Source organism: Homo sapiens, chromosome 6, assembly GCF_000001405.40.
Source record: "Homo sapiens chromosome 6, GRCh38.p14 Primary Assembly".
NCBI classification, from domain to species: domain Eukaryota; kingdom Metazoa; phylum Chordata; class Mammalia; order Primates; family Hominidae; genus Homo; species Homo sapiens.
The window spans coordinates 56841695-56864982 of NC_000006.12; the positions used below are offsets into that span (position 1 = coordinate 56841695).

A 23288-nucleotide genomic window follows, 5' to 3' on the forward strand; every position below is an offset into this window, starting at 1 on the left:
AGAGCACAGATGTATTTCTTCAATAAGGTTTGTTGGTCTATATTGCAATATTTCTCCTTTTCAAAGCTCTGGAAACAACTAATTACAAACCTTACTTTAAAATGGAGTGATGCAGGTAAACATGAGTATATTACCCACCCACCCACATACACACACACACACACACAAATGTCACAAATGTGCTTTAGCCTAAAATATCACTGCACTTGCTCAGTGGCAGTATTATACACAATAAGAGTCTTGGCACAAAGGAATTCTCATTGTACTGTTTACAAAATTCTACAAGGATTGCAAGAATTTCGGTTATAAAACATATCCTACAAAGAGAGAAAACAATTGTGAGTGTATTTGGGCTTTTTGGGGCTTTGGAATTTTATTGTTTAGTTCAATTTTTTTTTATTTCTACTTTCTACTAATAGAAAAACTACATGCATCATTAACCATATAATACCACTGAAATTACTGACATTGAGTTACCAAACCCAAAGCAAATATTCAAAAGATATAAAACCATCTGAATCCTACCTATGAAATGGGTCACTATTCACTATAAATACTTTAAACCTCTGTGAGCTGCTCTTGAGTTCGGAGTGTTTTGGGAGCCACAATAAAAAGATGGTATACACACACTTAAAAATACATTTCCAGACACAAAAACACTTAAAAAATGGACAGCTGCAATTTGTATTTCATCATTATATTCAACTATGAAGTCCAAGTAAACATTATACTAAAACATAAATATCAGATTGGCATAGAATTTCCTGAACATAAAGGATGGGCAGAAAAAAATCTCAAAATACATTCTTTACATTTAAATTTACAACAAACTCACTAAAGTCTTTTATCCATCACGCTATAAAATAATTTTTACAATATATCAGAGTAAGTATATAGTCACAAACTTTATCAAATAAGAAAGATCATTTTAAGGAAAATGATCTAGTGATGCTGAACCTTTTCTACAGGGCTAACCAATACCCTAGCCAAGCAGCAGCAGCAATGCCTTAGTAATCCCATAGAGAATAATCGGTATCCACCCTCCCAGGAAGAATTATGATTACGCGTAGTGCTTAAGAGCTTTTACAAGGGAGAGAAAACGCAATGTGCTTCTTGGAAACAACCCCCTTCCCCCCTCTCTACCGCTCATCTAAGGGCGTCTCCGGACTGTCGCCCACCCCACCATCCTCCCTGCGCTGGGGGTACTAAATCCCGTGCAAAAAGACCTGGTCCATTCCCAAGACTGGTCCAGACACCTGTTTACTCGTGCCCAAGGAGTGGTGGCTCTGATTAAGGAAAGGCAGCGGTTGCCTCTCTGATCAGTGCCAAGCTCCGCAGCCCCAGGGCAGGGACCACATACCTTTGTACCTCTCCAGGACATCCTCGTAGGCCTGGAGATACTCCTGCTCCTCCACGTACAGGTAAGCAGCAGGGGAGAGGTAACCCGCCATGCCGAAGTTTATCTAAGCGATGACTGACAAATTCCCCTCTCCCCCTCGTAACCCCCGGACAGTATCGCAGTCAGCAAGACACAGCCTTGGGAACTGGAAAAGAGGAAGGAGCAGCACGCTGGGGAGAAGCACGGAAGCCGAAGACGCAGAGCGGGGGCGCAGGGGGCTGCCGGCGCCAGGGCCGGCAAAGGAAACGCCCAGGCCTCCGGGCAGGCCGATGGTGGGCCGCCCGGCTCCGGGAGCCCGAGTCCCTCTCGGGTTTCAGCAGCGGCAAATCTCAGCGAGCCCAGGGGCGGCGACGAGCAGCGCCACGCCAAGCGGAGGAGCGGGGCGTGCGGCGAGGGCGGGCGGGGGCCGGCGGGCGCCCGGACCCTCTGCGGCCGCGCTGACCGCTCTGCTGGCCCTGCACGAGGCGCGTGCTTCGGGCCGGGCCGAGGCCGCGGCAGCGGTGCGGGAGGACCGGCGCGCTGCCTTCACCGGGGATGCTGCGCGGCGCATCTGCGGCATTTCCTGGCCGCCGCGCCGCAGACACTCGCCCGCGCCGGGGAGAGAGGGAGGGAGGAGGGTGGAGGGTGGAGGGTGGAGAGTGGAGGGTGGAGGGTGGAGGGTGGAGGGCGGAGGGCGGAAGGGAGGGGGCGAGCGCGGCGGTCAGCGCCCCGGCTGGCTCAGCTCCGGCCCCGGCGCCTCTCGGCCCCTCCCTCCCAGGCAGAGCCACGCGCCCCAGGCCCCCTCCCCAGGCCCGCCCACCCTGGTGGACCGTGCGGCCAAGCACGCCCACCCCCGGACACTGGCTGCCCGGTCCCGGATCCCCAAGGGCGACGTTTCTATTTGGGATCCACAACAGGTGCCTGAGAAACAAAGCCGCAGATCGCTCCACCGCTGTGCGCAGCCCCCTGCTGAGGGGCCAGCGGCTCTCCCTGGGTAAGGGATGATCGGGGGGAGGGTTGGAAATACTTTCTTCCACCCATCTTTTTGGCGTGGGAGGATTCAGGTCACTCTGTGACAGCACAGGGCAAGGAGGGCACGGGGGTCCGCGTCTAGGGGACATCCCGGGGACAGGGTGAGGAGGCCTCTGCAGGTGGCCCCGCGCATCAGCGCCTGACAGCCGGGCCGCGCCTGCGCCTGAGCTCCCGGCCGCCGCGAGGCTGCCGAGTACCAGCCTGCGGTCCCTCCCTTCTGCCCCCCAGAGCCCACAGGCGCATCTGCTGCTGGGCTCCGCGGCGGGCCTATAGGTTCACAACTGCCCCATATTTATCACCTCCCTCCTGCTCTCTCCTTATTATTCATTCTACATAGTACTAGTATCCATTAAACTGAGTAAAATGGATACAGTTCCCTTAAATTAGATATATGTGTATCATATACTAAAGTGGGTGAGTTTAAGCGTCCATTGGAGGAACCAACTGATACCCAGGCATGTAAATGGATGTGTTTAAGAGTAATGACTGGCCGGGCGCGGTGTCTCACGCCTGTAATCCCAGCACTTTGGGAGGCCGAGGCGGGTGGATCACGAGGTCAGGAGTTCAAGACCAGCCTGGCCAAAATGGTGAAATCCCGTCTCTACTAAAAATACAAAATTTAGCCGGGCGTGGTGGCGGGTACCTATAATCCCAGCTACTCGGGAGGTTGAGGCAGAGAACTGCTTGAACCCGGGAGGTGGAGGTTGCAGTGAGCCGAGATCACGCCACCGTATTCCAGCCTGGGCGACAGAGCAAGACTCCGTCTCAAAAAAAAAAAAAACAGTGAAGTCAGGCTGCTGTACATAGAATCTTCACTCCTTACTGTGTCACATGGGCAAGTTACTTATCCTCTCTGAGACTCTCTTCATCAGTAAAACAGCGATAGTAGTGCCTAACTCATAAAGTTGTATAGTAAATGAAGTTTAGAATAATGTCTGGTGTTATATAAGGATTAGCTGCTGCACCTACTACTTTATTTAGGAGGTGGGGTCTCACTCTGTCATCCAGGCTGGAGTACAGTGACAGGATGATACCTCATTGCTACTGCTATTATTAGATAAATCAGCTGATTGTTGACAGTCTGACCTATGTCAACTTCACGTCTTGTCTAAATCTTCCTTCCCTATTTCCTCCTTTCACATATACTGACCTTTTGCCCTCCATGATTTTTTATTTCTTTGTTAGCGTTGGGTGTTGTGAACTATGGACCATTTTCCATTAATGCTTAGATAGGGATGAGTTCCTCTTGAAAGAAAAAATTGTGTACTCGTGGGAAAAAAAAACTGACTTGAGATAGAACTGGAGCACTCCTCAGCAATTGGCCTACTTCTGTTACTCCAAACAAAGCAAGACCACATCTCTTTTTTCTATCCTGACCACTGGTTTATAATCTGAGTTTGAACCACTGTCCCAGTAAGTCTTTAAGGTTACTAGAGTTTTCTTACAGCTCGATATGCATTTGTATGCACATTAGTTCATAAAGTAACAACCAGGCATCATATGGGACACCTTCTTGAAATAAAAGGGTTAGCAATTAAGTCCCTGAAAGTCATTCATTTACAGACCACACATGTATAGACATAGGTCTCTCAAAAATGTCTCCTTTACAATGAGTAAGGTCATTGAAGGCACGTCTGAGCCTTCATCAGAGACTGACACCCAGTAGCACCCAGTTTTATGAATATAGTCAGCACACAGTAATTTTAATCATCCATTTAAGGAACCAGTCAAAATGAGCAGAAGCAACATTTGGGATTGTTTTTAAAAACAGCCTTTACCCCATGCATTCTTGGAAGGGTAACATTGGGTCAATATGCTAATAATAATAGTGTATTCCATAGAGAAGAGGCAAAAGCGTAGCAGTAAATAGCTTGGACTTTGGAGTAAAGACTGCCTGAATTCAGATCCTAGCTCTACTACTTCTTGACACTACAACCTTGGCAAAGTTTTTCTTCCTTTCTCAGCAGATTCTGAACTGAAAATGGAGAAAATCATAGTACCTACTTCATGGGGTTCTTGGGAGGTCTAAATAGGATACCATATTAAGTGCTTAGAAGAACATCTGGCCATGGGTAAGCTATCATTTATAAAGCATTTGATGTGCCAAGGAGGTAGCAGAATTGTTTGCATTCACTATTATATTTAATCACCACAACCATGACCCTTTGATAAGGAAACTGAGGCTAAGATAAGTTTGGTAAATTGTCCAAGTAAACACAACTAGTCATGGACAGAGAAGGAATTAAAACCAAGTCTGCCTGAGTTCAAAGTCTGATTCTCCTTTGATCCTTCAATTCCAACTTCGAAGAATTTGGATAGGACAAAAATCCTTTTCTTAAAATAGCATTATCACTGACAAACCATGTAACTTTACAGGTAGTTTATGACTGAAAAACCCAACTTACAATATCCTGTAGCTAACAACAGCAGATCTGTATTGCTCATATGTAAAAAGCATTTATACAATGGGTGTTTAAAAGCCCCTTTCCTTATATTTCATTGTTTTATTCTCACATTGACCCTAGGAGATAAGAAGTAAACATACTATAGTCTCAGATTTTAATATGATGAAACCACAACAGATACAAAAGCACTAAAGACTAAAAATGTGAAGTTGGGCCAGGCACAGTGGCTCACGCCTGTAATACTAGTACTTTGGGAGGCCAAGGTGGGCAGATTGCTTGAGCCCAGGAGTTCGAAACTAGCCTGCACAACATGGTGGAAGCCTGTCTCTACAAAAATACAAAAATTAGCCAGGCATGATGGCACACACCTTTAGTCCCAGCTACCTGGGAGGCTATGGTGGGAGGATCGCTTGAGCCCGGGAGGTAGAGGTTGCAGTGAGCTGAGATCACACCACTGCAATCCAGCTTGAGAAAGAGAGGAAGACCCTGTCTCAAAAAAAAAAAAAAAAAAAAAAAAGTGAAGTTGGCCAGGCCCTGTGGCTCACTCCTATAATCCCAACACTTTGGGAGGCCCAGGCAGAAAAGATCACTTGAGCCCAGGAGTTCGAGTCCAGCCTGGGCAACACAATGAGAACCCATCTCTATAAAAAAAAATTTTTAATAAGCCAAGCATGGTGGTACACACCTGTAGTCCTAGCTACTCAGGAGGCTGAAGTGGGAGGATCCCTTGAGTCCAGGACTTAGAGGTGGCAGTGAGCTGTGATCATGCTAGTGCACTCCACCCTGGGCAACAGAGCAAACCCTCAACTCATAAATAAATTTTTAAATAAACAAATAAATAATAAGAAGTGTTAAGACATGTGACGCCTTCACTAATATGACTTTCCAAACCGTAAACCTGATTATGCCATTCCATTGCTTAAAAATCTTTCAATGGTTCCCTAGCACTTACAACATAAATAGTCCAGTTGCCTCAGGATTGTACACAAACATCTTTACAGTTTCTGTCTTTCCCTTCCAAATCCCACACTTAGCAACACACTTTACTTGCAGTTCCCATTTACACCCATCTCCCTACCTTTGTTCTTGTAGTTCCATCCCTCTAAAGTGGGCTTCCCTTTCACCCTAATTCCATCAAGCTCTTTAAATCTCAATTCAAGTGGCACTTCCTCTCAGAAACCTTTCAGGAACCTCCCATGCCTCCCTTCTCCCCTCAGGTTAATTACACTGTCCTCTGGGTTCTTTTAATTTTAGGTGCTTATAGCCATCTCAACTAATCCCTGTAACAACTAATAATTACCGCGTTGTAACTGTTTAACAACACATCCATTTATCATATTAGACTATGACCTTTATTTTCCAGCTTATTCTTTTTTATTTTACTGATACATGATATTTTATATATTAATGAGGGCACCATACTGCAAGTATTTTTTACATGCATAGAATGTGTAACGATCAAGTCAGAGTATCTGAGGTATCCACCACCTTAAGCATTTATCATTTCTATGTATTGGTAATATTTCAAGTCCTTCCTTCTAGCTATTTTGAAATATACAATATATTATTGCTAACTATAGATATCCTACTCTGCTATGGAATATTAGGACTCATTTCTTTTAACTGTAAGTTTGTGTCCATTCACCAATCTCTTTTGAAACTATGACTTTTTAAAGGCAGAACTGTATGCTAATCTTCATTTTATTGCAGGGGCTCAATAAGTAGTTGCTAAATGTGGGTGAATTAAGGTATCCCACAGACCACATAGTCTTTTTGACTCAATAGACACTTTCACAATCAATTCTATTTTTAGGACCTTAAAAACAAATGAAAATACTAAACTCTCAGCTCTTTTATTACTAAGTAATGACCACTATAGACATCCTCACACCATTTCTGAACTTCACCTCATTTCCTAAAAAGGGTGAATTTCAGGGAGGGGGTAAGTTTCAGGAAGAGTATGAAAATATATAACAAAATTAGAAGTTGAATTTTCAATTGTATGTTTTCATAGTATCTACAGCACCAAATTCCATTAGATAACCTGTACCCTCATCCTCACACTGGGTGATGAGTGGCCAGTTTAACACATAATATATCTAAATTTCATAATTTAGCCACATTATAAGTTAAACAGATATTTATGGACTGGCCCCCCAAGTCTATCCTCCATGTATGATTATTGTTTATGATTTGCCTAGCAAAAAGCTAATTTACCAATATTTATTTAAAATACAATCATAGGCCAGGTGTGGTGGCTCACGCCTGTAATCCTAGCACTTTGGGAGGCTGAGGTGGGTGGATCACTTGAGGTACGGAGTTCGAGACCAGCCTGGCCAACATGGTGAAACCCCATCTCTACTAAAAATACAAAAAAAAAATTAGCTGGGCATGGTGGTGCATGCCTGTGGTCCCAGCTACTTGGGAGGCTGAGGCAGGAGAAAACTTGAACCCAAGAGGCGGAGGTTGCAGTGAGCCAAGATTATGCCACTGCACTCCAGTCTGGGTGACAGAGAGAGAATCTGTCTCAAAATAAATAAATTAATTAAATTAAATTAAATCATATGCTTCCCTACTGTTTGTTGTTTCATTTTATTTTTTTCTGCTTTTGAAGAATTCATGCAATTTTTTTTTTTTTTTTTTTTTGAGACAGAGTCTTGCTCTGTTGCCAGGCTGGAGTGCAGTGGCAAGATCTCAGCTCACTGCAACATCTGCCTCCTGGGTTCAAGCAATTCTCCTGCCTCAGCCTCTAGAGTAACTGGGACTACAGGCACACGCCACCACGCCCAGCTAATTTTTGTATTTTTAGTAGAGACGGGGTTTCACCACATTGACCAGGATGGTCTCGATCTCTTGACCTCATGATCCGCCCACGGGGGCCTCCCAAAGTGCTGGGATTACAGGCATGAGCCACGACACCTGGCCTGTAAATTCTAAAGAATGGAATTTTGAGATCCCCAGTGCATCACCTGCCACCAACTTCACAGCTATCCCTACAAACTCAGTGAACATTTTACAATTAACAAGCGATGGCCCCTGCATCAATGACTCCACAGTCTACTAATAGCATCAGCACCTTCATGTACACTGCATCCCATTAGAACATAGAGTTCTTCAATATCTTCCCCACCTGCAGTGTACAATGATGGTTAGTACTACCAATTTCTCATGACTTCCTGCCCAGTAGAGTTTTTCCCAATTTATCTAATTTCATTCCCCCTAACAAACACCTGCCCTGTCTTTCTGTCATAACTCCCTCCTTCATTACTGAAAGCAAAATATCCATCTCTGCCACTACTATCAAAACTCTCAGCCCAGAAGCACCTTCTACCTTCCAAAAAATACATAGAACAGGTATCCCATTTTGATGCCCTAAGTGGGCCATCAGCCCCCAGTAACTTCTCACTCACACCCTCCTTTCATCTATCTTCCCTTTCTGCTGAGTCAAACATCTGGTATGGGCAGTGTCATCTGTATAGGCATTCATTTCGCTGGAGCCTCAGACCTGCGGGAAAGTTCTCAACAGGGCAAGGAGGCAGGCCTCAGTGACTAAACATTTTCTGGTCTGCCTTGACTCTCCAAGTCTACCCCTGCTCACTCTCAGTCTCCATCCTCCCTCCACCTCCCCTTTCTCACTCCACCCCTTGCTCTTCAAAGGCCTGGGTGAGACCAGCCAGCATCTCACAGCGGAAGCCAGAAGAAGCTCAAGGCTGTTGCCCCAGAAACCCTGACTAGAGAATGGCTGGCTAGGCACTGTTTGTTTTTCCCGTAATCAGAAAATCCCACTGGGGGGACAAAAAGGGGGTTCTCAGCTGCCTTGATGGCCGGAATCTGGGCTGGTCCCCTCCAGCCCCCTTGGAGGAAGAGAAAGTACCAACTTTGCAATACAGTATAGGAGGCAAAAAAAAAAAAAAAAAACAACTGTGGAAAGGGACCCCCAGAGTTAAGAGTGGAAGAGAGGGAAGGAAAGGAAGCCTGAACCACTGGATGCAGAAACAAACTTAAAGAACACCTGGCCTTCTGCCTTTGCAAGAAAGTCCCCAAGGACACATTCCATCCTGCCCTGTTACCATTTCCAAGAAAGAAAGAAAAAAAAAATATTGAGGGAAGAAAGGAACAACACCCCTGGAAGCACCTCTCATGCACAGGACACATACACACAAACCACGCAGGGGTTGGAAGGTTGATTTCCACAGTGTTCTCAGCTTTCAGCTGGGTAAAACAAGCCATCACTTCTGGTTCAGCTTTTAGGGCCAATGCAAGGGAACACCGGGTAACACAGAACAGAAACATTGGCACATCTCATGTATTAATTAATCAGGAAGGCGTGATGGCCAAACCCTCAAAAGCACTAAGGACAGAAAGCTGCTATGGATACAATGATGCAGACAGAGATGCTACATTTAAAGAAAAACAACATCCAAGTTGCTGGAATATGCTTTGCAATCCTGGGTACCAAAAACCATGGATCTTCTCAATCTGCGTAGCTCAGTGCCCCTGGGCAAAAATGAAAATAAAGGCTGCTCACTTCCAGCTTCCCGCAAATATACTAGCAATCACTGGAGCTAATACTTTCAGAATGTTATGGTAACTAATGCAGTAATTAGGAAAGTTTAGTGCAAATGTCTGTAAATATTTCCTTGCATTTCAAAGGAATCGATTCGTCCAACCAGAAGGCAGGGCCAAACAGCTTAGTCACCAGCAGGCAGGGCAAATGGCTCTATCGGTAAAACAAGGCATAAAGTAAACATGGTCATCATCCTCCCCCACCTTGAGCACAGATTCCTGCCCAGTGCATCAGCTCCCGCTATGGCCCCCCAGGAGGTAGATGGGCGAATTTCCGCAACTCTCTTCCCCCACTCCATCCCCTTCCCCAGATGCTCTTACCTGCTATCCGAAGCACTGCCCTCTCGGCAGGGTCCAGCACTGAGCCCCCTTGAATCTTTCTTTTCGATCTCTCATGTTTAGGCAAATTCCAGGGTAAGGTGTCTCCCGGAGCTGGGGATGCGGAGCCAGATTTCTGGCTGAAATCATCCTCATCGGAAAAATCCGCAGAGGAAGACATAGAGCAGCGATAGGACGCGTTCCCGGAACTCTACAGAGAATGACACAGAAAAAGCATTAACAGCAAAATACTCACATATGCTCAATGATTTAAACATCTCCCCCACCAACCACCGCCGCCCTCCCTGCCCCCAAACTGGGTCTGGCATATCCTGCACCATCCTCGGAGCTGAGGGAATATGCAGAAACCAAAAAAATAAAACCCGGAGCTCACCATCTTTTCTTGGCCAAGTCTCCAATCGTAAAAACAATACACAGGCAGTTTCAATACATGAAGATTTGCACGGAAGAAGTGTGTGGCCTGTGGTCCGGCCACCAGCTCACAAATGACTGGCCCAACAATGAAGCCAGAATCAACAGCCTTCCTGTTACAAACCTATAGTATTTGGCTCCCCCACCAGGACAGTAGAAATATTTTCCATTACTAGCCTGCTGCTTAATTCATCAATGCAACTAACTCGAAGTTTCGAAAACAAAGCACAAATGCAGGATGTTGAGTCCCAACTCCTTTCCGCTTCAAGTCACCTCACCACTGGAGACTCCGTTCTGACCAGTTTTAAGCCCCTGTCCTCTTTATTTAATTTTCTTCATGAGACTGAAGCAGGTTCCCAGAAAAGAGCAAGGAGGGAGGAAGGGCTGATTCTGAGAAGAGCCTTTTCTTAAGACTGGGAGAACACAAAAGACTGTTTTCAGAAGCCTATGGCAGCACCAATAAACAAACATCTGAACTCGGTTTAGAGTTCTCAAGATAATTTAAACTTCCAGCAAAGTAACAGCTGCCAATAATGTAAATGAGAATGATGCTGCGCAGTGACAGGAAACAGAGCTCTTCTCAGCTCCTGGTCATTACACAGTGAAATGAGAAACAGGATGCTTTTGCCAAAGCACTTTGCCTGAAGGTTAGTCCTCCCTTCATCTAGCTGGAGCAAATCTGTAGGGTCATGTCTTGCATAAAAGTGTTAATATCTTCCATAGAGGGAAAAGGCACAAGATGTTATTCCTTCCTTCTTTGTTGGGTTGTGTTTGTGATTATTTACAGAGCCACTGGCTTACTAAGGAAACAAGGATGTTGACTATCTCTGCTGCAAAATTATAAACATAACGACATATCAAAAGGAAGTCTTGACTTTCCTACTGAGAATTCTACTTCGCTGAGACTCATGGTAAAGATGCAAAACTGGTATAACTCGAATTCCTGAAATGTAACTTGCAGCCATGGATTCCTAAGAAGCAAGTTACAGGCAGAAATCAGTGAGGCATGCTCCAATTTGAGCAAAAACACTGGGCTTCCCACAAAAGCAGTGGCAACTGCAGCACAAACAGGCTGTGTGAGCCACATCCCAAAACACTCACCCTAGGTACGTGAAATAAACTCTAATTGCATCAGGACTACCAACCTTACCTCAATCTGTTTAGGCCTGTGGCTATGCATGGTCAACACCATTATTTTATTTTATTTATTTTTCTTTTTTGTGGGCACATAGTAGGTGTAAACCCCATTATTTTAGAAGTTCACGTAATATTTCCCACAAAGTGAGGTATGTAAGACGTAGCTCTCTATTCTTTCCCCCCAAAAAAGCTGTCTTCCATTTTATTTTACATAAAATTTCATCATCTTGGCTAATTTATTTATTTACAGTCTGTATATTTTTCTAATGACAATAAGGCATTAGGCAAACTTGAGGCAAAAAGTAAATAAAATTGATTTTCTGTATTGTAGCTACAATCCATAGGGAGTTGTGAGTGGCATTAGGTCAGTCACAGCATGCTATTATCAACCCAGTTTATTTTCCATGCTTTTCTGAAAATCCATCTTGAGCTTTCTGAGATTTTGTTTTTGGCTGGCTCTGCATAAAAGGGTGACATTCTTAAAGACTTTTAAGAGGGTATTGGGTTTCTTTGGCTGCTTTCTATCTTCCTAAAAATGGCTTCCTATCTGTCCTTATTTAAGGTCATCCTTTATCTGTGAGATTATATTTCTTGTTACCTGTACTATTTTAGTGAGGATAGTAATTTGATTATTTATCTTTACAGACAGACTTGGAGAATAACTGTTAAAGAACTGCTCCTTTCCAAAAACCACTGGTTATTGATTTTTGTAGAGTAAATTTTTTTAATGGCCTGAGTCTCAGCTGATTGAACAACGAAATGTGATTTATGCCACGACATAAACACCATTAATCACTCATAGCCAGATGGGAACAGTTACCACCCATGGACCCATGGGTGTTGACTGGTGCAGCCTCTAATCTGGTAGTGTCATTGGTAAACAGATAAGAGAGAAAAAGAGGAAAAGACAATCAACAACACTTCTTTCAACAATATATCATAGGAAAATATGGACCCCACACACACACACAAACTGAGGGAAATCATACATATTTATATGTGGCAAAGTCTCTCCCAGGCTACATGATCCAAGTGTTTTAACAATTAAAGTATCGGATTTTTTCCCACAAAAATTTTCATGAATACTTTTTAAAAATATAAGGTAAACTATATAAAAGTAGGCCCATTTGAACCCTGAAAATTGGAAACAGATTTAAATGGAGCTGCTTTAAAGTGGATTGATCCTAAAGAAAACCTATTATATTCTTTATTGATTTGAAATGACTTGCCAAATCATGTTACTATCTTGGGGGCTAGAAAAGAGTGCGGAACTACAGTTCCCTTTTGTTTTAAGAAAAGCAAATATGTTCTCTCACCCAAAGGCCAGAGCCTAACCTTTGATGTGGGGCTTAGAAAGGTAGGACAAAGGAAGAGGGCTCCTGTAATCAACAAAAGCCCCAGGTTCCTATCTAGTATTCTACTATTGTTGCCTAAGGTTTGATTCCTATTAAAATACAAATTCGGTAGCTAGGTCCATCAATAGGAGACTGTTTAAATATAGTTATATGGATACCATAGTCTACTCTATAGCAATTAAACAAAAATGTTACTGATCTACACTTAGTAAAGAAGAAATAATTCATAAAGAATGATTTCTTAAAATATGTGCGTGTGCATGTACATGTAATAGTTACCCATATGTAAGTAGCGATTATCTTTGGGTGATGACTAAGATTCTGAATGAATTTAATTTTATTCCTTATAATATTTTAATCCAATACAAGCACATAAAAAGATTACCAAAAGTAAAAAGATTTTATGTCAAGGGTCAGAGAAAATATGGACAACTCTGTGAAGAAGTAACTAAGTCAGTGTTTTTAACATTTCTGGGCTCATAGGCACCCCTGAAAAGTTAATGAAACCTCTTTCCAGAATAAAGTACAAGAGTCAATACATGCAAACTTTGCATATCATTTTATGGGATTAACTGACCCACTGACCCCAGGTTAAGACCCCAATTCACACCATCATTTGTCATCCCCATTTGGCATGTATGCTGAAAACAAGAGATACATGAAAGAGCTGTGGAGTAACCATACCAACAAGGGGGCAGAGTAATTAGGGTAGTGAAGATAAAGCTGGCCTACGTCATAATACTTTTTAACAGTTGGCCTTTTTCATAAATGACCATGAGCCACTTCTGGACTGATACTGAATCTCTGCAAACAAAAAAGCACTAGATAGTTACAAGCCAAAAACCCAGTACAGTAAATCCTCACTTAAAATCATCAATAGGTTCTTGGAAACTGCTGCTTTAAGTCAAAGGACATATAATAAAACCAATTTTACATAGACTAATTAATATAAATGAGAGTTAAGTTCCTACAACAAATAATATTTCTGGGCATAAAAATATCACCAAACTTCTAAATAAAGACCAAAACACTTCTAATATTAAACACTGCAATCAACGTGAGCTATACATACATTTACGGAAGATTAATAAAAACAAATAAGATAATTATTTACCCAATTTTTGGTGAATCAGTAAATGACAGCAGTCATCGGGGTGGGGGGTTAAATCAAGGAATAAATGTTTGCAAAGTGAAAAATATAAGGAGTACCTCCTACTGCCATGCAGTTCAAAGCCAATCACAAATATGGCAGACCCACTGAGTACCTTCATACCACATTGTTTATTGTCATGCATTTGTAGGATTATTGTAGACCTTACAAATTTTTATTTTATAATAATTTGCATTTATTCATGCATTCCTTTTCCAACCTGCTTATTACAGTTCAGGATCAAGGGTGAACCCATCCCAGCAGCTCAAGGCACAAGGCAGGAACCACACCTGGACAGGACACCATCCCATGGCAGGGTACACTCATAATCTATGCCCACAGTCACTCAGAATGGGACCAATTAACCTAATGTGCACTTCCTTGGAATGTGGGAGCAAACTGCAGCATCCACAGAAAACCCACACTGGCATGGGGAGAAAGTGTGAACTCCACTGACAGTGGCCCCAGCCAGGAATTCATTTTTTTTTCTCATCAACATTATTAACAAAAACACATTGAACAAAACAACATTATTCAAGGACCTACTATATTGTGTCTTCTACAACCTAGTTATTAAAGCAGTTTTAACAATTGAATTAGATCACCAAAAGCTTTAAAATGACTTTCCTGATAGCCCATTCATTCGCATGGTATAAAGACAACCCAAATCTCCTAAAGCCAGGATAATTACATAATGCAACATTTTTAGAAGGGGAACTGAACAATAACTTCTTTAACTGAAACCCCGGTGGGGGATCTGAGATAAGTACAATGGAACTGCCTAAATTGGATGCCGCCCAGCCTTAGCACCCTGATCTGTAGGAAAGTGCCAAGAAATTGTCTTGGCAATAGGCATTCTCTACAGGCAACGGAGAAAAGTGCAGAGACAAGGGTTTGCAAAGTAGCCAAAAGTTTAAAATCCCAGAGGCTGAAAAGTAAACTTTCATAAACCCACATACCCACATATTTATAACTTAAGCACATTTCTGTATGTGTATTTCAAAATATTCACCAAAAAAAACCCAAAAATAGAAAGCACACAAGGAAACAGACAAATCCTGATTGTGAAGCATTCTACAAGACAATTGTCCTAGATCCTTCAAAAAGGTCAATGACATGAAACATACACACTCAAAAAGGAGGAATTGTTCTAGATTTAAAAGGACAAAAGAGACACAACCAATTCATGAACCTTGGTTGGATTCTGGGTTGATTCTTTTTCAAAAGCTAAAAAGACATTTTGGGGCAACTGGGGAAATCTGAACATGGAACTGGGTTGTTTATTAGACAATATTAGGAAATTATTGTTAGTTTTCTAAGGTGCAATAATAGTATTGTGGTTATGCAGGAAAGTGTCCTTATCCATAGAAGATGCAGGCTGAGGAAACCCAAGATGTCTGCACTTATTTTTATTGTTTCAATAAAAACAAGGAAAAGTATTAAATGTGATAATAGGCTAACAATAAGTATTCATTGGTCTACTCTTTCAACTTTTCTATAAATCTGAATATTTTCAAAATGAAGAATTGAGGGGAAATAGCAAGGTCTTTTTTTTTTTTTACGAGACAAGGTCTTGCTCCATTGCCCAGGCTGGAGTGCAGAGACATGATCATAGCTCACTGCAGCCTCGAACTCCTGGGCTCAAGAGATCCTCCCACCTCAACCTCTCGAGTAGCTGGGTCTACAGGCACATGCTACCACACCGGGCTAATTTTATTTTTTAATATTTTTATAGAGATGGGGTCTCACTATGTTGACCAGGCTGCTCGCAAACTCCTGGCCTCAAGCAATCTTTCTGCCTTGGCATCTCAAAGTACTGGGATAACAAGCATGAGCCATTGCGCACAGCCCATAGCAAGGTCTTTTGTGGTGTGTTTAAGTGTTGCTTAGTTTATTCCTGTGCTCACAAAATCAACAGGTGCAGGTTGCAAGGACAAAGTGATAGTTTTGATCTAAGAAATTTCTCGTACCATTTCTTCACAAACACTTAGAGAAGCACTAGAAGCAGTGGCCTGTGTAAAGAAGTCACCAAAGAAAGATGACCTGCTTGCCTTAGTCCTAAGCATAATTTTAGACAGAAAAATATAAAAGAAATTCCTCTGCTATTCATTTATTAATAATGTACAATACAGTGAACACAACATAGGTTCAGCATCACATAATTTTGATATTTTATATAAACAAAAACAGAAAATTTTTTCTCCAAAATTAGGAAAATCAAAGATACAATTTTCTTTAAAATTCCCTTAGGTAGGTAGGTACAAATATTAACTTCCTCGATGTTGTATCAAAATATATGGTATGGCCCAAGACTATCCTTATATGACTAGTTTTTTATTTAGAAATAAGTTTAAAAGCAAGAGCACATTATCTGATTTTAGAGATCCCAAGGAAAACAAGCTCTACCACAAATAAATAGATGTAGAAGAAAACAATTAAGGAAAATGTGCTTAACTCCTTGAAGAAAAAATGAGATATGGTAAATTTGGGGCACCTTGTGCTTGCTTTAGTTAATAATTTTCAAAACTTGTTGAACAATTAAGGTATGAAATCTTTTATCAAATAAACAGCTCTCAGTTAAGTCTTACCTGGAAACCACCTTTAGGTAGTAAGTGTGGAAGAGGGGGTCTAGTGGTGAGGCCATTAGCTGGCTCTCACTCTCTTCTGTTAGGGGAGATATGCAGGAACCCTTAACTCCAAGAGGCAGAAGAGCCTGGGTGGAGGTGAGAGGAAGGGGGATCAGAGGGAGAGGAAGCAGGAAGGTTACTGCTAAGTTCTGACTCAAGGGAAGCAGTTTCAGGCAGAGTTAAGGAAGTCAAAGGTTTCTTTCTAGGTAGAGAAGCCCAGTTCATCAGCCTATGAAAGAACACTGGAATTTAGAACACAAACTCTAGGGTGTAATGATTGTACACTGGTTAGTGTTACTTAGTACTGTATTTCTAAGGAAACCAAGCTTGCTGATGGGACAGAAGAGGGAGACAATTTTCAATGTCATTTTCCTCTAACTGTATGGTCTCTCTCACAGGTATACAAGGTAAGTATCAAAGATTTGTTTCCTTCTGTTTTTAAGACTGTATAGTATTCCATTGTGTATATATGCCACATTCATTCATTCAACTGCTAATGAACACTAAGGTTGATTTCATATCTTGACTATCATGAATAATGCTGCAATGACTATGGGAGTGCAGATACCTCTTCAACATGTTAATTTCAGTTCCCAATAGGGATATCACTTTGAATCCTAGACAATCAAGGCTCAGCACTAAGACATTCTGCAAAACTTCTTCCTTTCTTTCAGTTTAGTATATTCTATCCAGATGCCTAATTTATTGGGTGATTATAATTTAAGCATTTTCACTGACTATCTTATTTAATACTCACTGAAATCCAATAAGAAAAAGGATGTTTAGGGATATTAAGTAACTTGTCCACAGTCATTCTGTCAGTACAAGGTGCAGCCAGGATTTCCATATAGGTCCTTTTGACATGAAAGCCTGTGCTCTTGACCACATGGTACTAAGTGCCCTAAAATGTGGTCCTTGGCACTAGGGGAACATATACTCACAGCCCTAAAGATTACCATATATTTGGGGATCCCAAAAAGACTAGACTTGTACTGGGTTCAGTACTAGGCCCAAAGCATGGAAATGACAGGTATCAGTTCACAACAAAGAAAAACCATTCAAAATGTACAACTACAGTACTCCCAGACTGCTTTGTGTATAGTGAGCACTCTCCTATTCCAAGGGACCAAGCCTTCACTTACTCTGTGGTCTCTTTCCACTCAAAGATTCTTGGGTCCTATGTGCTCCCACACCTCCATAAATCTCCCCAAACAGATTACAAATAAAATAAGAACTATGCAAAGTATCGAAATACAAAATTTTTCTAAAAAATGTAAAAAAAATTTTCAAAAAATTTCAGACATCTTTTTTTTGCAAGTCCACCTAAACCCAATCATATGAAAATTATAGAAATAGAGACATCAGAACTAGTTTACATTTGAGTATCTACAAATAGTCTTTCCAACCAAAGGAAGAACATTTTAAATAACTTGCCTAAAGGAAAAGCAAACAGATCTCTAAAAATAGCCCCACAAAACAAATGCATTAGGAAGACAAACTCAAATACTGAAAACATATATTTAACTAGAAAATACTTAATCTTATATTTTAAATGGATTTTTGTTTATGTCAGTTAATTAAAAATATGTCTTAAGTACCTATAGGCTTCTTTCTTAGAAGGGCCTGAAATCTAACTGGGAGAGCAGAAGTGACAAAATCGCCAATTTATAATTAAATATCAATCATCTTATCATCACTTATTAGGCTTAAAAATATGTCTTTTAGTGGAATAGTATAAATACATACATAAAAATATGGCTCATAGTAGAAAGTTGATAAGGAGAGAGAGGCTAAATCAAGTCGAGCCTCCGCAGTCCCTTCAGAAGCCAGATTGGAGATGCAGTTCCCCAGCTCCCTCACTTCACTCTTCCAAGAGTATCCTATCCAAAACTATTCACTGCTGATAGCACCATCATTGTAGATGCACTGTGGCTGGCCTACTCATTTTTAAAAACAAATTAACAGCAAACATGTAAATACTGGAAAATTTTCACATAAAAATTCAGATGTGGAATACTGGCCCTAGTGGTTTCCCCTTTAAAGAAAGGACACGTAAAGGACCTGTGCTTTCCAGTCTGACACAGTCCTTGCATGTATGATACCTGGCCCCTGGTGACATATGACTTTGGAGCCCCTGGCATGAAGTAAGTGATGGATGACATTGCTGTATTCAGAGAGTAAAGGAAAAGGTAGAGGAGGAGAGGTAGGGATCGTGGTAATTGATAGACTGGGGATGAAATTTTTAAAAATAAGAAAACTGGAGAAGAGGGGATAAAACAAAACAGAAAGCTTTCAAAATATTTCAATTAAATGGACAACAAACAAAAATAGATAGTTCCATGTTTCTACTGACATCCAAGTGTTCACTTCATTCTGCTGTATCCCCAAATACCCTGGTTAACATTTCCAATGCCCAGGAAATGGAAGAAAGCTGTATGACTCATGTAAATGCTGGCTCAGGCTCCCGACGAATCTAGCTGGACCCACCCACCCATCACTACTGCTAATGACTCCCTGCTGGTTTTTGCTCCCGTACCTACCCTTGGTCAACAGGTAGGAAGCATTAGTAAATTTTAGCTATTAGGTGATGTTGTCTATTCACACTTGTTTGATCCAGGGGTAGATGACTAAGCCAATATAATTGTCACTTCAGGAAATATGAAACAACAGAGACACAGAAACTAGAAGTTATTGCAACTGTGTCACCTTAATAACAGCTCTCAGGATACAAAGTCCATGAGTTCCGTATCTATCCTTCCCAAGCTTGGTTGTTAAACCTCCTTTGAGATGTCCCTGTATCTTTCCAATACATATCTTTCTGTAATTCAGAAGGTTTTTTTCTTTTAAATTCATTGTCTCCATTACTGGAGACAACAAAAACTTAGACAAACATGTTAGTGTTAAAAAAAAAAGCAATTATAGATATTCAGTTCTTCTCTATTGACACATAAGCAAAGTTATGTCTTTATATCTTCTTTATGCTTCCATTTTCATTACCTGTCTTCATTAATGAGACTTCAGAAAATTGCTTTTGATAATAGCTTTTACACACTTACTCTTTCACTACAAACAGTAGACACTTAAGTGAAATAATTACTTTTTCATTAAAAACAAAAACTTTTATTACTGCACAGAAGCAAAGTCTATGAAACTTTAAGTGCCTGGCACTCCCACTGCCCTCTTCTGAGGAAAGCAGGGCTGTTCCATGTACATTCAGTGAAAACAATTCTGCTGCTACCTTAAGCTGCACCCAATCGGAACCAGGGATCAGTGCCTGATCCCTCTGAGCTGGCTTGGTGGAAAACTCTGCTCAGGTGGGATGCTTCATATTGCATGGTAGCAAACCAATCCAACCACAGCCTCCTCTCAAGAATAAATGCTAAGTTCATTCCAAATGTCCTTAACAATATTTGGGTTTTCCCTGACATTTGTTGCACATCCTCCTCTTAGAACACCTGAGATCCATCTGGAACAACTGTGTGGCTCAAAGCCCCCGTATCTGCACTAAAGGCCCCAGTAGATTTCATTTTATCTCTCTTTCCTGAGGTGATCTGGACCTGTCCCTTCCTTGCTTTACCCCTAGAGGAAGCTATATGGCAGGACGGGAAGCAGAAACAGCCTGCAAGAATACCTGACTTTTATTTTCCACAAGCCTGAATCTTTTGAGGTGGGCATAACCTGGAGGCACAAATGTTCCCTCCCATTCCCTGACACCGTGGTATGCATCTTACAGGACCCCAGAACCTTAACACAATTCTGAGGTGGAAGAAATGGGGAACACCAGGCCTGGCCTCATGGAGACCGGGGAGTCAGAACCTGAGGTGAGTTGAAAAAAAGACAAGGGAACACCTCTTACCCCAGAGTGTACAGACTGAGATTCAAACTCACCGTGTGGGTAGCAGCTGTTTCTTATGTACTTCAGAATCCCAGGTCTTAGGAGGGGGCCCCTGATGAATAATGTCTGTTGGGTGAATTTATTGGCTTGGCAGCTTGGCTTCAGCAGCTTGGTCAAATGTGAGTAGAAATTCAGAAAGAAAGCTCTGCCACAACCAAGGCTAAAAATGCCCCAAGTGTCTATCTGTCTGTCTCTCTCTCGCACACACACATACACAGAGCCCACCAACGGGATCAGCACAGCAGCTACTTCCTTCCTCCAGCATCCTTTCTCATTTTAAGGCTGCTTTGAATTATTCTAGATCCAGGGAAGAAGGGAATGTATTTCCTTTCTTGCTTGTTGCCACCTTATTCCAAATCAGGTAAGAAAAGATAGTGTTTGAGGGGGGAAGATGTTAGGACCTTTGAGTTATCCAACCAGTCTCCCAGAATGAGAAGTGAGAAAAGCACAAGGTGCCTTGAGAGCATCAAGTGGAAGTGGCAGCAGAGGCGTCTGGAAAGCAGGTGGTGGATGAAGATCACAGCAGGGCTTGCATGTGACACTGGGGCCCAGACTTCATCTTCATCTTCATCTTCATCTTCATCCAGTAGGAGCTGGATTGTTGCTGAAGGGTTATAAGTAGTTTGCCCGTATAGCTGTGTGACTCATGGACTGAAGAGGGATCACACTCAGACAAGATTAGTGAGCAGTTACTGTAATGGTCCAGCAATAAATGATGAGAGCCTGAACTAAATCATTGAAATTGGGGGGGAATGGAGAGGATGAATTTGAGAAACATTTAGAGACTGGAAAAAAGAAGGCTGGAGGAAGGTAGGGCTGAGGCTGCTAGGGTAAGAAGTGAAACTAGCTTACTATGCAGGAATGAGAAGAAGGTCAGAAGTCAAGCAAAACTGTAATAGTGGGGAGACAGAGAATAGCAGTAGGAAAATGAGTGGGTCCCAGTCAAGTCATACAAGGAGAGCTCAAGATGATGAGGTTCTTTTTGATAAGCCTCCTAATTTGTGGTGACTCAAACTGGTTTAAGATACAAGGCTGGCTAGACACCAACTTCCAAGAGACCTGCATTTTCTTCCAACTATAGCTCTGGCTCCTGGAGCTGCTGCGAGTGAGTGGTGGAAACCTGCCCCCTTAGAGAAGCTGCAGCTGATCAGCATCATGCAAGGGACTGCTGAGATGGTAGCATGCTGGTAATGAAGTGTTATGGAGCCACTCCATCCTTTATTCATCCTTTTCCTCATACACACAGAGAGCAAAGGTGTATAAACCATCTTGTTCATTGTCCCCTTTCACACAGGAGTTGTTTTGGGGAACATAATAGTCACGCCATTTACACATATTTCTTATAACATTTTATGAGCCATGATATTCTACTTAAAAGCACAAAAATAACAATATCCCTATTTCTTCTGACTTCCAATTGTCTGTAAGTAATAATTGTTCCCACTGCATTTATGAAGTAAATTCACTCATTCTTTCACAGTGCCCATCACAGGGCAGTTAGAATCCTGTGCTACAGCTGTGCAGCCCACACCCCTCTCCTCCTTAGTCATCATGTACACTTAGGATCTGTGTGAATTCCAATCCCCTGACCTTCCTCCCCTTCACAGCTGCCCTCCTGACCCTGAAATATTGCTTGGGTGTTTTTTCTCCTCCCTTTCTCAACCGGGGATTTCCAAGCCAGCCTAATAGCTTCCTCCAACAATAATAAAGCAAAGAAGAATTTTTAAAAATGTGTATCTGTGTCCATAAAACAATATGATGAATTCTATCACAAAAAACAAGCACACCATAGAACATATGACTATATGTTCCTTTGTGCCATCCTTCACTCTCTTCCTCAACTGGCCTTGTGTTTTTGTCCACAGCACAGGAACCAGCTACAGAATTTGCAAGTGGAGAATCCAGGTACCTTTAAAAGTCTATTTAGTGAAAATCTCTGGCTATTGATGTGACGGTTAATTTTATGTGCCAACTTGGCTAGGCCATGGTACCCAGTTTTTCATAAAAGATCAGTCTAGATGTTGTGAAGGTATATTTTTAAATGTGATTAACATTTTATTCAGTGGACTTCAAGTAAAGCAGATTATCCTCCATATAGTGGGTGGGCCTTCTCCAATCAGGCCTTAAGAGCAAAGACCATGGTTTCTCAAAGAAAGAATTTTCCTCAAGACTGCAACATAGAGACCTTGCCTGAGTTTCCAGCCTGATACCCTGAAGAATTTGGACTCAAGACTGCAATATCAGCTCTTTCCTGAATTTCTAGCCTGCTGGCCTGCCCTACAGATTTTAGATCTCCCAGCCCAATTGCATGAGCTAATTCCTTAAAATAAATAAATCTCTGTGTGTGTATGTGTGCTGTAACTAATATATCCTATTGGTCTGTTTCTCTGGAGAACCCTAACTAACACAATTGTCTACCATATTACTGCATAAAAGACTTATGACTCACCTTTACTACATTTCAGGGAAGTAGAAACACCTGCCATAATTCACATTTTACAGTTTTATGGAAAGTAGGCAGGACTTTCACCAAGCTGAGTTAGGAAGCCAGAGTGCTTCACCCAGCCCCATAATTAACTACCCATACTACTACACAAGAAAATTACTTAACATCTTTAACTTGCTCGTATTCTAAACGTGAATAATCATACCTACTTCACTAGATATTAGTATTAAAATGAAATAATGTATGTAAATCCTGTAATATGATGCCTGCTCAGCACATACTACTCAATACATTTCCATAGCATTTTATTATAAAATAAAAAGATAAAACAAAAACTAGATATCGAGTACTTAGAATTGCAGTGATTATAGCTATATGACCAAAAATATATCATTTTGAGGACTTGAAAAAAATATCTACCTCCCTTCACATCACCTGCATGCTGTTGCCTAAATTTCCAGTAACAGATACATTCTTTTGGTTTAAAGCTTTTTATTTCTAATCAAACTACCCATGGATGAAAAATATTAAGTGGCACAGTATCAGT

The 23288-nt window shown here is 41.7% G+C and overlaps 1 protein-coding gene and 1 long non-coding RNA gene across 10 annotated transcripts in view, besides 8 other annotated features; one reads left to right on the forward strand and one right to left on the reverse strand.

Moving 5' to 3' along the window:
* DST (dystonin) overlaps nt 1–23288 on the reverse strand; it is a 496835-nt gene that overhangs the window by 383699 nt on the left and 89848 nt on the right. For 4 of the 9 annotated variants that reach the window (NM_001144769.5, NM_001374722.1, NM_001374736.1 and 1 more), the window contains exon 4: nt 9703–9910. In NM_001144769.5, the coding sequence (NP_001138241.1) occupies nt 9703–9910 (208 nt within the window). Of the gene's footprint in view, nt 1–1360; nt 1954–9702; nt 9911–10093; nt 10212–23288 lie in introns of those variants that run through there. The other 5 variants (NM_001374730.1, NM_001386100.1, NM_183380.4 and 2 more) reach the window with 2 other exon arrangements.
* Nucleotides 865–1733: an enhancer, noted in NCBI's record as "H3K27ac hESC enhancer chr6:56707357-56708225 (GRCh37/hg19 assembly coordinates)". NCBI's record gives its function as "activates a minimal SCP1, AML or CMV promoter by ChIP-STARR-seq in primed H9 embryonic stem cells {active_cell/tissue: H9 hESC(primed)}" and the evidence as "EXISTENCE:reporter gene assay evidence [ECO:0000049][PMID:30033119]".
* Nucleotides 1685–1944: a silencer, noted in NCBI's record as "silent region_17297". NCBI's record gives its function as "represses an Ori minimal core promoter by ATAC-STARR-seq in GM12878 lymphoblastoid cells {active_cell/tissue: GM12878}" and the evidence as "EXISTENCE:reporter gene assay evidence [ECO:0000049][PMID:35858748]".
* Nucleotides 1685–2714: a biological region, named in NCBI's record as "NANOG-H3K27ac hESC enhancer GRCh37_chr6:56708226-56709093".
* Nucleotides 1734–2601: an enhancer, noted in NCBI's record as "NANOG-H3K27ac hESC enhancer chr6:56708226-56709093 (GRCh37/hg19 assembly coordinates)". NCBI's record gives its function as "activates a minimal SCP1, AML or CMV promoter by ChIP-STARR-seq in primed H9 embryonic stem cells {active_cell/tissue: H9 hESC(primed)}" and the evidence as "EXISTENCE:reporter gene assay evidence [ECO:0000049][PMID:30033119]".
* Nucleotides 2035–2234: a silencer, noted in NCBI's record as "silent region_17298". NCBI's record gives its function as "represses an Ori minimal core promoter by ATAC-STARR-seq in GM12878 lymphoblastoid cells {active_cell/tissue: GM12878}" and the evidence as "EXISTENCE:reporter gene assay evidence [ECO:0000049][PMID:35858748]".
* DST-AS1 (DST antisense RNA 1) lies at nt 2292–22644 on the forward strand. The gene is made up of 4 exons (NR_125866.1): nt 2292–2372; nt 20134–20221; nt 21377–21550; nt 22161–22644. It is a non-coding gene; the product is annotated as a DST antisense RNA 1 (long non-coding RNA).
* Nucleotides 2575–2714: a silencer, noted in NCBI's record as "silent region_17299". NCBI's record gives its function as "represses an Ori minimal core promoter by ATAC-STARR-seq in GM12878 lymphoblastoid cells {active_cell/tissue: GM12878}" and the evidence as "EXISTENCE:reporter gene assay evidence [ECO:0000049][PMID:35858748]".
* Nucleotides 10097–10391: a silencer, noted in NCBI's record as "tiled region #11401; K562 Repressive non-DNase unmatched - State 12:CtcfO". NCBI's record gives its function as "represses a minimal TATA promoter and a strong SV40 promoter by Sharpr-MPRA in K562 cells {active_cell/tissue: K562}" and the evidence as "EXISTENCE:reporter gene assay evidence [ECO:0000049][PMID:27701403]".
* Nucleotides 20906–20955: an enhancer, noted in NCBI's record as "active region_24705". NCBI's record gives its function as "activates an Ori minimal core promoter by ATAC-STARR-seq in GM12878 lymphoblastoid cells {active_cell/tissue: GM12878}" and the evidence as "EXISTENCE:reporter gene assay evidence [ECO:0000049][PMID:35858748]".